Source organism: Homo sapiens, chromosome 4 (genome assembly GCF_000001405.40).
Source record: "Homo sapiens chromosome 4, GRCh38.p14 Primary Assembly".
Taxonomy (NCBI): domain Eukaryota; kingdom Metazoa; phylum Chordata; class Mammalia; order Primates; family Hominidae; genus Homo; species Homo sapiens.
In genome coordinates, this window is record NC_000004.12 from 8,413,890 (window position 1) to 8,426,226 (window position 12,337).

The 12,337-nt window shown below is 47.4% G+C and overlaps 1 protein-coding gene across 23 annotated transcripts in view, besides 1 other annotated feature; it reads right to left on the reverse strand.

Moving 5' to 3' along the window:
• Positions 1-12,337, reverse strand: part of ACOX3 (acyl-CoA oxidase 3, pristanoyl) — an 85,419-nt gene that overhangs the window by 58,585 nt on the left and 14,497 nt on the right. For 20 of the 23 annotated variants that reach the window (XR_007057969.1, XR_007057970.1, XR_007057968.1 and 17 more), the window contains 4 exons: positions 2,489-2,646; positions 1,877-2,110; positions 965-1,039; positions 403-492 (listed from right to left, as the gene is read on the reverse strand). Coding sequence is in view for 18 of the 23 variants with exons in the window: in XM_047416231.1 (XP_047272187.1) it covers positions 403-492; positions 965-1,039; positions 1,877-2,110; positions 2,489-2,632 (543 nt within the window). In the remaining 5 variants the exon portion in view is untranslated. The remainder of the gene's footprint in view (positions 1-402; positions 493-964; positions 1,040-1,876; positions 2,111-2,488; positions 2,647-12,337) is intronic. The other 3 variants (NM_001375789.1, XM_047416234.1, NM_001375784.1) reach the window with 2 other exon arrangements.
• Positions 5,606-5,655: an enhancer, noted in NCBI's record as "active region_21292". NCBI's record gives its function as "activates an Ori minimal core promoter by ATAC-STARR-seq in GM12878 lymphoblastoid cells {active_cell/tissue: GM12878}" and the evidence as "EXISTENCE:reporter gene assay evidence [ECO:0000049][PMID:35858748]".

The following is a 12,337-nucleotide window of genomic DNA, read 5'->3' on the forward strand; positions in this document are numbered from 1 at the left end:
AAAGGGCAGAGGGCAGGGAGCATGTTGTCTCCATGGGGCCCACCGTAGAAACCACGGGCCATGAGAACGGTTTATGAATCCACTACGCATAGGCAGCCAGGTAAACAAGGCAATAAATTTTACAGAATGAGGGCTTCTTCACTGCACTCAAATTACACACAAATCCAAACCACGATCAATTCCCCATAAAGTTCATGGTGGGCACAGGCTTTGTCCTCCAATGCCTGATCTCCTGGGCCCCACTTTTCAGTGTGATGAATCTCAGTGGGTATTTCTACACAAGTGTATGTGGACAGGCCTCTTGCTTTAATGTTTTTTTTTTCTTATTCTGGGCAACGGCATTTGCACTCATGACGTCTCATATGCTCCAAACTCAGGGACCCGGGGGAAGGTAATACCTACCTCAGTGGCAGGATCGTAGTGGGCAGTTGTGCGAATGGCCTTGGTATTACTGCCGTGGCTTAATTCGGTCAGAGCAAAACATCCAAAAATCTAAATGTCAAAGCACAAAATGATGGAAAGCAAGAAAAGTTCTTTGTGCACATTCCCAGAAGGACCTCACTGCCATCTTTCCTTTAAAGATGAAACCACATATCAAAGCCCCAAATTTCCATCTACCCAACTAGTGACTTGACTGAGTCATGCTGCCACACTCAGCTGGCAACCACAGCAGCCTAAACCAAGCTGACCGCAGCTGCTCCACGTCAGCAAGGTGGCAGGAACTGCTCATCAGGAAAAGACAGTGGAAGGCCTCAGTGACAATTCACCTGGTGCTAGGAAGTCAATGTGCCTGTGTTTGCTAAAGAACAGTGCTAGCTATTTGGTGAGAAGCCTGAGAACACTAGGAAACAAGAAGAGCATAAGCCCCCTGGGCACCCCCTTCTACAATCTTCTCTTTTCACAAATCTCTACAGAGATCAAGCAAGAGAACCAGGCTCACAATTTACCATGAACCAGAACTTACCTCCATCCTGAAGATCTTTTGAATATATGTGAGATGTCTTTCAGAACCAGAACTGTAAACTGCTGATCCAAAAACCTGAAAGTATAACATCGTCCTATCAACAGGGGGCAGGTAAGAAGAGTACTGCTCTTCCGGAACATCACAACAGACAACGGCACTCAACACCATGCCCACGCTGGTTCCCTGCCACACTGCACTTTCCCCAAGGTGGAGAACAAGTGCTGAGAGGTTAGCCAGCAGCCTGGATGCCCAAGGCCAGGGTCTCCTGACACACAGCTGCCCCGGGTCCCTGAGTTCATGTGAGTGGTAAGACCTACATCTCTGTGCCGAGCACCTTGTATAAGGCACACAGAAATCACCTGGGAATTAAGATGCCTGCAAGGAGTCCTGGGGGTCTGAGGACAGCAGGGAGAGCTGTAAGGAGAGCAGAGCCCACCAGCCCATCAAACAATGCAGGCAAGGCTAAGGGCAAAGCCATTTTGCCCAAGCTCAGCTCTGCTGGTATGTTACAAAGGAAGGAAAAACACAGGTTTCTCCCTTTGGCCTACTTTTTAAATTTTTTTATTTTTTTTTTAATCATTTGTCTCTTTTTTTGTATGAGGTAAAAAAAAAAAAAGTCCCAACAGCTCCTCTTCTGATGGGACTTGAAGCTTCACCACATTGTATTTTATTCAAGGACTTATGGGTGCAAATTTACAAATACATGATGGTGGATGGGCTTGAAAATAAAAAAATGAAAAGGGGGACTGAAATTTTTTTAAAAACATTAAAAAAAAGATAATTTTTAAAATTTGCAAATATAGCTGGACAAACTGGTGTTTCTCTGCCTCTTGGTTGGCCCTGGGACAGGCATCCCTCAAGGCTCAGCGCAGCATGAAAGCCGTTTCCCTCTCCCCTAGGCCGCATGCTCACCAAGCTATGGAGGAGGTACTTGGCAGCCAGAGAAGAGTCATACATGCCCAGGCACTGAATCAAGGCGGGGACCTTCAGAGGGCTCTTGAACATGTCTTCGACACTGAGGAAGTCATACTCGAAGATCCGCTTGCATCGAAGGAAGTTCAGCTCGCGATACTTCTCCAAGGACAGATCGGCTCCAGGGGAACGAGCGAAAAGAGGGTCATTCTCAAGAGCTGAGAAGATGGTTTTCTGGAAATGCAGGAGATGGGTAAGGCTTATTTGGAGTAAAAGATGGACTCTCCATGTGCCCTTATATAGTTGACCTCCAGGCCACAGGCTTCATGGGACACAGTCTGACCCGGAGACACCCAGACAGAGATATGACTATCATTCCCAATGGACTAGAGGACTGGAGGCTTAAGAAACATCAACAATCCGTGTTCATTTCCAGACTCCTCATCAATTCCCTGAGGCCTGTCCTGGGGTGCAGAGAGGAGAGAGGCCGCGCTGCCTGGGATGAGCCTCGCCCGGCAGAGGAGGAGCTGTGAGAGCCAGAAATCCCATTCTGCTAACGAACTAAGACCCCACTGGGAAAAAAGACAAGCTGCGCACAACCGCACGCCTCACCTTAAAGCGGAGCATGCCCTCCCCTTCCGTGAACAGCGCCAGCTCCTTCCAGCTGAAGGACGCTCTTGCTCGGTAGGCATCGAGGGGCCCCCTGGGGAATTCTGGGAGCAGAGCTGTGTCGCCTCCTTCCACAGTGGATGCCATCGCGTGATAAGAGCCTGCACAAAACATGCAACCTGAATCCATGCTCTCCCATCTATGGGTTCAAACTACCCCCACCAACAGGAGAGCCCGCAACACCTTACAAATCAGAGAAAAGTAAACTTGAAATCCAAAAGGATGGCAAAAGAGAATCACTCTGTGAATGGCTAGCATCATTTTCCCAGAAGAAAAGGCGAGAAGAATTCCCTCGTCCACTCCTGAACACAGATGCCAAGGACACAGAAGAGAGCCAGGCACAGCCTGGGGGTCACCAGGCACACAGGGCAGAGGGTTTGTCAGAGTCTTGTTTTCTGTCACACAGCCTTGCCTGAGAGTACCCTGCCCTCTTGGGAGCACCCCGGACATCCAGACTCATCCCCAAGGCTCACTAAACCCAGGGTCAGGAAGCATTCCCTCTGGAATCCAGCCAGTGCCAGCTGGTCCACTCTGGCCACACACAATGGTACCTCACGTCTCCACCCACCGCCGGTCCACCTGGACACAGGGCCTCCAGCACAGAACCTCTGATCACAGGCTTCTGCACTGGCTTCTCCTCGACATATAGACACCTGGCTTCCCGCTAACACAGCAGGCCTCCCAAAACTCAGCTCTCTTGACCAAATAACCATTCTGGAATTTTCTGGATAGACTGGGTCCTTTTCCAAGTGGCTTGGCTGATGAAGGCATTGAAGGGAATGGCTGGTGAACCCAAGTCTGTCTGAGTCCTGGGCGTGGGCCGCCCACCTTCACTGTTTAAGGCCTAGAGGAAAGAGGAACTTTTGAGTCCTTTGAGCTGAAACAGCCTGCGGTGCTGGAGCCTGAGTCTGGCCGCTCAGGATGCTGACTCCCCTCTGTGCAGGGAGGTGGGAGCCGCAGGTCTGAGCACCTGTTGGTGGGCGGCGGCAGGAATCCTGCCTTCTATAGTCTTATCTTATTTCACCCTCCAACAGCTGTGAGCCAAGTACTACTGCCCCCCATGAAAGATGGAGAAACGGAAGCTCAGAGAGGCTGTGTTTCCCAAACCCCCTCCGCTGAGAAGTGGGGAGAAGGGCTCCAAGCCCAGCAATGTCTAACCTCAGAGTCATGCCTTTCAAGTACCACCTTAAGACACTGGAAAAGAAACACAAAGTAAACTTAAATTATTTCCTTCCTTCTTAAAGCAGAAGGAAGAAAATAATAAAAGATAGAGCAACTGTGAATGAAACAGAGAACAGAAAAATAGAGAAAAATCAATAAACGATCAAGTTGGTTCCTTGCAAAGACTGACACAATTGGCAAACTTTCAGCTAGACTGGCCAAATAAAAAGGAGAAAACACAAATTCCTCATCAGGAATCAAAGACGGGACATCACCACTGACCCTAAAGAAATAAAAAGGATTATAAGGGAATATTGTGAACCATGGTATGCCAACAAATGATATGAAGTGGTCATATTCCTGGGAAGACACAGCTAACAAAACTGCCTTATGAAAAACTGAAAATCTGAACAGATCTATAATGACTGAAGAGATTGAATTAGCAATCAATAAACTGTCCACGAAGAAAAACCAGGGGTTCCATTGTGAATTCTGCCAAACATTTAAAGAAGATCAATTATTCAAGCTCTTCCCAAAAACAGAAGAGAAGATAATACTTCCCAACTCATTCTATGAGGCCAGTATTACTTTGACACCAAAACCAGACAAAGACATCACAAGAGAACTAGAAATAAACATCTCTTGTAATACAGATGCAAAAATCCTGAATGAAATTTTATAAACTGAATCCAGCAACATATAAAAAAGATTATATGTGCCAGGCATGGTGGCACATGGCTGTAATCCCAGCTACTCAGGAGGCTGAGGCAGGAGAATCGCTTGAACCTGGGAGACAGAAGTTGCAGTGAACCAAGATTGCACCACTGCATTCCAGCCTGGGTGACAGAGCGAGACTCCATCTCAAAAAAAAAAAAAAAAAAAAATTCTTAAGACTCAATAATAAAATGACAAAAAACCAATTAAAAAATGGGCAAAGGGTTCAAATAGACATTTCTCCAAAGACAGACAAATGGCCAAAAAATACAGGAAAGGCCAGGCACGCTCACACCTGTAATCCCTTTGGGAGGCCGAGACGGGCGGATCACCTGAGGTCAGGAGTTTGAGACCAGCCTGGCCAACACGGTGAAACCCCATCGCTACTGAAAATACAAAAATTAGCTGGGCATGGTGGCGCATGCTTGTAATCCCAGATGCTCAGGAGGCTGAGGCAGGAGAATCGGTTGAACCGGGAGGCAGAGGCTGCAGTGAGCTGAGATTGTGCCATTGCACTCTAGCCTGGGCAACAAGAATGAAACTCGGTCTCAAAGAAAACAAAACAAACAAACAACAACAACAACAAAAACACAGAAAAATATGGTCAACATCATTAGCCACCAGGAAAATGCAAACCAAAAACCCAATGAGAGACCACTTCACATCCACTAGGATGGCAATGAGCAAAAAGATACTAAAATACTAAATGCCGGCTATAGTGGCACGTGCCTGTGGTCCCAGCTACTCTGGGGAGGCTAAGGCAGGAGGACAGCTTGAGCCCAGGAGTTTGAGACCAGCCTGGGTGATACAGCAAGACCTTATCTCTTAAAGAACCAGATAAATAGGCCAGGCGCAGTGGCTCATGCCTGTAATCCCAGCACTTTGGGAGGCCCAGACAGGTGGATCATGAGGTCAGGAATTCAAGACCAGCCTGGCCAACATGGTGAAACCTCATCTCTACTAAAAATACAAAAAAATTAGCCGGGCATGGTGGCAGGTGCCTATAGTCCCAGCTACTTGGGAGGCTGAGGCAGAGAATTACTTAAACCCGGGAGGCAGAGATTGCAGTAGCCTAGATTGCGCCACTGCACTCCAGCCTGGGTGACAGAGTGAAACTCTGTCTCAAAAAAAAAAAGAAAAAAAGAAAAAAGAAACAGAAAAATAATCACAAGTATTGAGAGGATGTGGAGAAATCAGACTCTCATGCCCTTCCAGTGAAAATGTAAAGTGACCCAGCCATTCTGGAGAACAGTGTGGCAGTTCCACAAGTGATTAAACATGGAGTGACCACATGACTCAGCAATTCCACTCTGAGGTATGTACGCAAGAGAACCGAAAACATCACGTCCTCAATGTGTGCAAGGCTCCCCGATTCACACCTCCAGACTCGTGAGCTCATTTGGCAGTCAACGGCAATTCCCCACCTCTCATGTTCTGGAGATGCCCATACTGAGTGTTCAACACTGAATTCAGCCTCTCAGCCCTGACCCAGCTTCGCCTCCTGCACCCCAGTTCCACACTGCCAGTCACCCAAGGATTACTGGAATTACAAACCCCAGTGTCATGTTGGAATTCCCCTCTCCATGCGCCATAACCTCAGTACATTACCAAGTCCACAGTGCATCTCTAACACCTTACGGAATCTTCTCATTTCTCTCCAGCCTGATAAAACCCTCATAACAACCTCCAGTTACTGAGCTGGTGCTGTGTGCAGGTGACTGTGTTAAGCAGCTACATAGACCTCAACTGTGCCCACCAAGCCCAAGTACTATCAGTAGTCTCCTTTTCCAGGTGAGGAAACTGGAGCTTCTTAGAGACATTGACCATGGTCATACAACTATTATCAAGCACAGCTGGCTCCAAATCCCCAGATCCTAACAAGTACCTATGGGCCCATGCCACTTGAAGTCACCAACCTTACTGCATTATGGTACAACTGTTAGAGATAAGGATTGTGAAGCCAGACTGTCTGGGTTCAAATCTCAATGTTACAGCTTTCTAGCTGGGTGACCTTCCTAAGATCTGTGCACCTTGGGGGTGATAATACAGTGATGCTGAGAGACAGGACTAGCTGGATTTCCAAGGCTGACTAAGAATTCCTAAGCCTAGCTGGGGAAGGTGACCACACCCACCTTTAAACATGGGGCTTGTAACTCAGCTCACACCAGACCAATCAGGTAGTAAAGAGAGCTCACTAAAATACCAATTAGGCTAAAAACAGGAGGTAAAGAAATAATTAAATCACCTATCCCCTGAGAGCACAGGGGGAGGCACAATGATCAGGATATAAACCCAGGCATTCGAGCCAGATCAGGCAACGCCCTTTGGGTACCCCCCCGTTGAATGGGAGCTCTGTTTTCACTCTATTAAATCTTGCAACTGCACACTCTTCTGGTCCATGTTTGTTCCAGCTCGAGCTGAGCTATCACTTGCTGTCCACCACTGCTGATCATCGCCATCGCAGACCCACCACTGACTTCCACCCCTCCGGATCCAGCAGGGTGTCCACTGAGCTTCTGATCCAGTGAGGCACCCATTGCTGCTCCCAATCGGGCTAGAGGCTCACCATTGTTCCTGCATGGCTAAGTGCCTGGGTTCGTCCTAATTGAGCTGAACACTAGTCCCTGGGTTCCACAGTTCTCTTCCATGACCCACGGCTTCTAATAGAGCTATAACACTCACCGCATGGCCCAAGGTTCCATTCCTTGGAATCCGTGAGGCCAAGAACCCCAGGTCAGAGAGCAAGAGGTTTGCTGCCATTTTGGAAGCGGCCCACCACCATCTTGGGAGCTCTGGGAGCAAACACTCATCGGTAACATTTGCTGGGCTCGTATGGGGATTCTCCAAAGCGGTGAGTAATATTGAACCACTTTCACTTGCTATTCTGTCCTACCCTTCCTTAGAATTGGAGGAAAATACTGGGCACCTGTTGGCTGGTTAAAAATGATTAATGTGGCCACCGGACTTAAGACTCAGGTGTGAGGCTTTCTGGGAAAAGGCTTTCTAACAATCCCCAACCCTTTTGGGTTGGGAGCATTGGTCTGCCTGGAACCAGCTTCCACTTTTACAGTTTTCTTGGGGAAGCAGAGGGCTGACTAGAGGCAGAAAGCTGTCGTCCCAAATTCCCGGCATTGGCCGGTCAAGATCATGGCGCAGCCAGAAGTCTCTACTCAACAGTTGCCCATGCGTGCACCCCTATCTCTCCTTCTGGCCCATACCTCCTGGGTCCTAACCATGACTTTCTTGAAAGTGTAGCCCCAAAATTCTCCTTACCTCTGAATCTACTTCCTCTGATCCCTGCCTCCTAGGTACTAATGCTTCAGACTCACTTCCTCTCCCAAGTATTAGAGCAAGTTGTATCTCCAAAGGGATCTAAGGAAGCTCTACGCTGTGTCCTTAAGCACCTAGGGTATGAACCCAGGGAGTCTTGTCCCTGGTGTCCCTCCCAATTTAGATATACAGCTCTCGACATGGGAAGTTATGTGGGACCTACCACCCTTGCCAGGGCCCCAAGTTTGTAAATGGCTAGGAGGATTGCTCTCCCATTGTGTAAGATGCTCTCCTCCCCCAATTTCTACCCAGCTTACCTCCCCCACTGCAATACAATCTCTAAGCCTAGACTCCTTGGCCAGGGCCTTAGAATTGATGACCCAGTACTTTAACAACTGGAACTGTGTCTACGACAACAGAATAGATCAGGAAGAAAGCGAATTGAGTAAATTAAAGGGAGGCGCATATTCCTATAGAGGCAAATGGGGGCAACGAGCGAACATTCTTCCGCTGTGTTCCCAAAATCCATCTATCAAGAGAGAGAATGAGAGGGAAAGAGAAACAGAGAGAGAAAGGAAAGAGAGAGAGAAGAGAGAGAAAGAAAGAGAGAGGGGGGAAGAAAGGCAGAAAGTCAAAGAGAAAGAGAGAGACAGTCAAAGAGAGAAAGAAAGAGAGAGATATATAAGTAGTTAAGAAAAAAACAGTGTACCCTATTCCTTTAAAAGCCAGGGTAAATTTAAAACCTATAATTGATAATTGAAGGTCTTCTCTATGACCCTATAACACTCCAATACCACTTTGTTGTCAGTTAAACAGTGTAATGCAAACATTAGGAAAAAAACTTCAAAAGTCCACCTTAGGCCCAGAGCAAAACATAGAAACTCTAATGAACTTGGCAACCTCGGTTTTTTTCACAATAGAGATCAGGAGGAGCAGGCAGAACAGGACAAACGGGCCCTCAGGCAAGCAGAAGTTCACTTCTTGCCCCCATTTGCCACTATAGGAATATGCACCTCCCTTTAATTTACTCAATTCGCTTTCATCCTGATCTATTGTGTTGTTGTAGGCATAGCTCCAGTTGTTAAAGTACTGGGTCATCAGTTCTAAGGCCCTGGCCAAGGAGCCAAGGCTTGGAGATTGTATCGCAGCAGGGGAGGTAAGCTGGGTAGAAATTGGGGGAGGAGAGCATCTTACTTTGGAGGCTCTGGAAAAGGGAAACGCTGGGCAAATCAAATGCCTGATAGGGCTTGCTTCCAGTGTGGTCTACAAGGACACTTTAAAAAAGATTGTCTGAATAGAAATAAGCTGCCCCTCATCCATGCCCCTCATGTCAAGGGAATCACTGGAAGGCCCACTGCCCCAGGGGATGAAGGTCCTTTCAGTCAGAAGCCACTAACCAGATAAGCCAGCAGCAGGACTGAGGGTGCCCGGGGCAAGCGCCAGCCCATGCCCCAGGTATGCTTGACCATTGGGGGCCAGAAGGTTAACTGTCTCCTGAACACTGGCATGGCCTTCTCAGTCTTAGTCTCTGGTCCTGGACAACCGTCCTCCAGATCTGTCACTACCCGAGGGGTCCTAGGATAGGCAGTCACTAGATACTTCTCCCAGCCACTAAGTTGTGACTGGGGAACTTCATTCTTTTCACTTGCCTTTCTAATTATGCCTGAAACCCCCACACCCTTGTTAGGGAGATACATTCTAGCAAAAGCAGGGGCCATTATACACCTGAACATGGGAGAAGGAACACCGTTTGCTGTCCCCTACTTGAGGAAGGAATTAATCCTGAAGTCTGGGCAACAGAAGGACAATATGGATGAGGGAAGAATGCCCGTCCCGTTCAAGTTAAACTAAAGGATTCCGCCTCCTTTCCCCACCAAAGGCAGTACCCTCTTAGACCCGAGGCCCAACAAGGACTCCAAAAGATTGTTAAGGACCTAAAAGCCCAAGGCCTAGTAAAACCATGCAATAGCCCCTGCAATACTCCAATTTTAGGAGTACAGAAACCCAATGGACAGTGGAGGTTAGTGCAAGATCTCAGGATTATCAATGAGGCTGTTGTTCCTCTATACCCAGCTGTACCTAATCTTATACTCACTCTGCTTTCCCAAATACCAGAGGAAGCAGAGTGGTTTACAGTCCTGGACCTTAAGGATGCCTTTTACTGCATCCCTGTACATCCTGACTCTCAATTCTTGCTTGCCTTTGAAGATCCTTTGAATCTAATGTCTCAACACACCTGGACTGTTTTACCCCAAGGGTTCATGGACAGCCCCCATCTATTTGGCCAGGCATTAGCCCGAGACTTGAGCCAGTTCTCATACTTGGGCACTCTTGTCCTTCGGTATGCGGATGATTTACTTTTAGCCACCCATTCAGAAACCTTGTGCCATCAAGCCACCCAAGTGCTCTTAAACTTCATGGCCACCTGTGGCTACAAGGTTTCCAGACCAAAGGCTCAGCTCTGCTCACAGCAGGTTAAATACTTAGGGCTAAAATTATCCAGACACACCAGGGCCCTCAGTGAGGAATGCATCCAGCCTATACTGGCTTATCCTTATCCCAAAACCATAAAGCAATTAAGAGGGTTCCTTGGCATAACAGGCTTCTGCCGAATATGGATTCCCAGGTACAGTGAAATAGCCAGGCCATTATACACACTAATTAAGGAAACTCAGAAAGTGAATACCCATTTAGTAAGAAGGACACCTGAAGCAGAAGTGGCTTTCCAGGCCCTAAAGAAGGCCCTAATCCAAGCCCTAGTGTTAAGCTTGCCAAAGGGGCAAGACTTTTCTTTATGTGTCACAGAAAAAACAGGAATAGCTCTAGGATTCCTTACACAGGTCCGAGGGACCAGGTTGCAACCCATGGCATACCTGAGTAAGGAAACTGATGTAGTGGCAAAGGGTTGGCCTCATTGTTTATGGGTAATGGCAGCAGTAGCAGTCTTAGTATCTGAAGCAGTTAAAATGATACAGGGAAGAGATCTTACTGTGTGGATGTCTCATGATGTGGACGGCATACTCACTGCTAAAGGAGACTTACGGCTGTCAGACAACCGTTTGCTTAAATATCAGGCTCTATTACTTGAAGGGCCAGTGCTGCGACTGCGCACTCGTGCAACTCTTAATCCAGCCACATTTCTTCCAGACAATGAAGAAAAGATAAAACATAACTGTCAACAGGTGATTGCTCAAACCTACGCCGCTCGAGGGGACCTTCTAGAGGTTTCCTTGACTGATCCCGACCTCAACTTGTATACTGACGGAAGTTCCTTTGTAGAAAAACGACTTCGAAAAGCAGGGTATGCAGTGGTCAGTGATAATGGAATACTTGAAAGTAATCCCCTCACTCCAGGAACTAGCGCTCAGCTGGCAGAACTAATAGCCCTCACTCAGGCACTAAAATTAGGAGAAGGAAAAAGGGTAAATATATACACAGACTCTAAGAATGCTTACCTAGTCCTCCATGCCCATGCAGCAATATGGAGAGAAAGGGAATTCCTAACTTCCGAGGGAACACCTATCAAATCTCAGGAAGCCATTAGGAGATTACAATTGGCTGTACAGAAACCTAAAGAGGTGGCAGTCTTACACTGCCGGGGTGATCAGAAAGGAAAGGAAAGAGAAATAGAAGGGAACCGCGAAGCAGATACTGAAGCCAAAAGAGCCGCAAGGTGGGACCCTCCATTAGAAATGCTTATAGAAGGACCCCTAGTATGGGGTAATCCCCTGTAGGAAACCAAGCCCCAGTACTCAAAAGAAATAGGATGGGGAACCTCACGAGGACATAGTTTCTTCCCCTCAGGATGGCTAGCCACCGAAGAAGGAAAAATACTTTTGCCTGCAGCTAACCAATTGAAATTACTTAAAACCCTTCATCAGACCTTTCACTTAGGCATTGATAGCACCTATCAGACGGCCAAATCATTATTAACTGGATCAGGACTTTTCAAAACTATCAAGCAGATAGTCAGGGCCTATGAAGTGTGGCAAAGAAATAATCCCCTGCCTTATCGCCAAGCTCCTTCAGGAGAACAAAGAACAGGCCATTACCCAGGAGAAGACTGGCAACTAGATTTTACCCACATGCCCAAATCTCAGGGATTTCAGTATCTACTAGTCTGGATAGATACTTTCACTGGTTGGGAGGAGGCCTTTCCTTGTAGGACAGAAAAGGCCGAAGACGTAATAAAGGCACTAATTCATGAAATAATTCCCAGATTCGGACTTCCCTGAGACTTACAGAGTGACAATGGCCCCGCTTTCAAGGCTGCAGTAACCCAGCGAGTATCGCAGACGTTACTTAGGCATACAATATCACTTACACTGCGCCTGGAGGCCACAATCCTCAGGGAAGGTCGAGAAAATGAACGAAACACTCAAACAACATCTAAAAAAGCTAACTCAGGAAACCCACCTCGCATGGCCTGCTCTGTTGCCCATAGCCTTATTAAGAATACAAAACTCCCCCCAAAAAGCAGGACTTAGCCCATACGAAATGCTGTATGGACAGCCCTTCCTAACCAATGACCTTGTGCTTGACCGAGAGACGGCCAATTTAGTTGCAGACATCACCTCCTTAGCCAAATATCAACAAGTTCTTAAAACATTACAGGGAACCTGTACCCGAGAGGAGGGAAAGGAATTC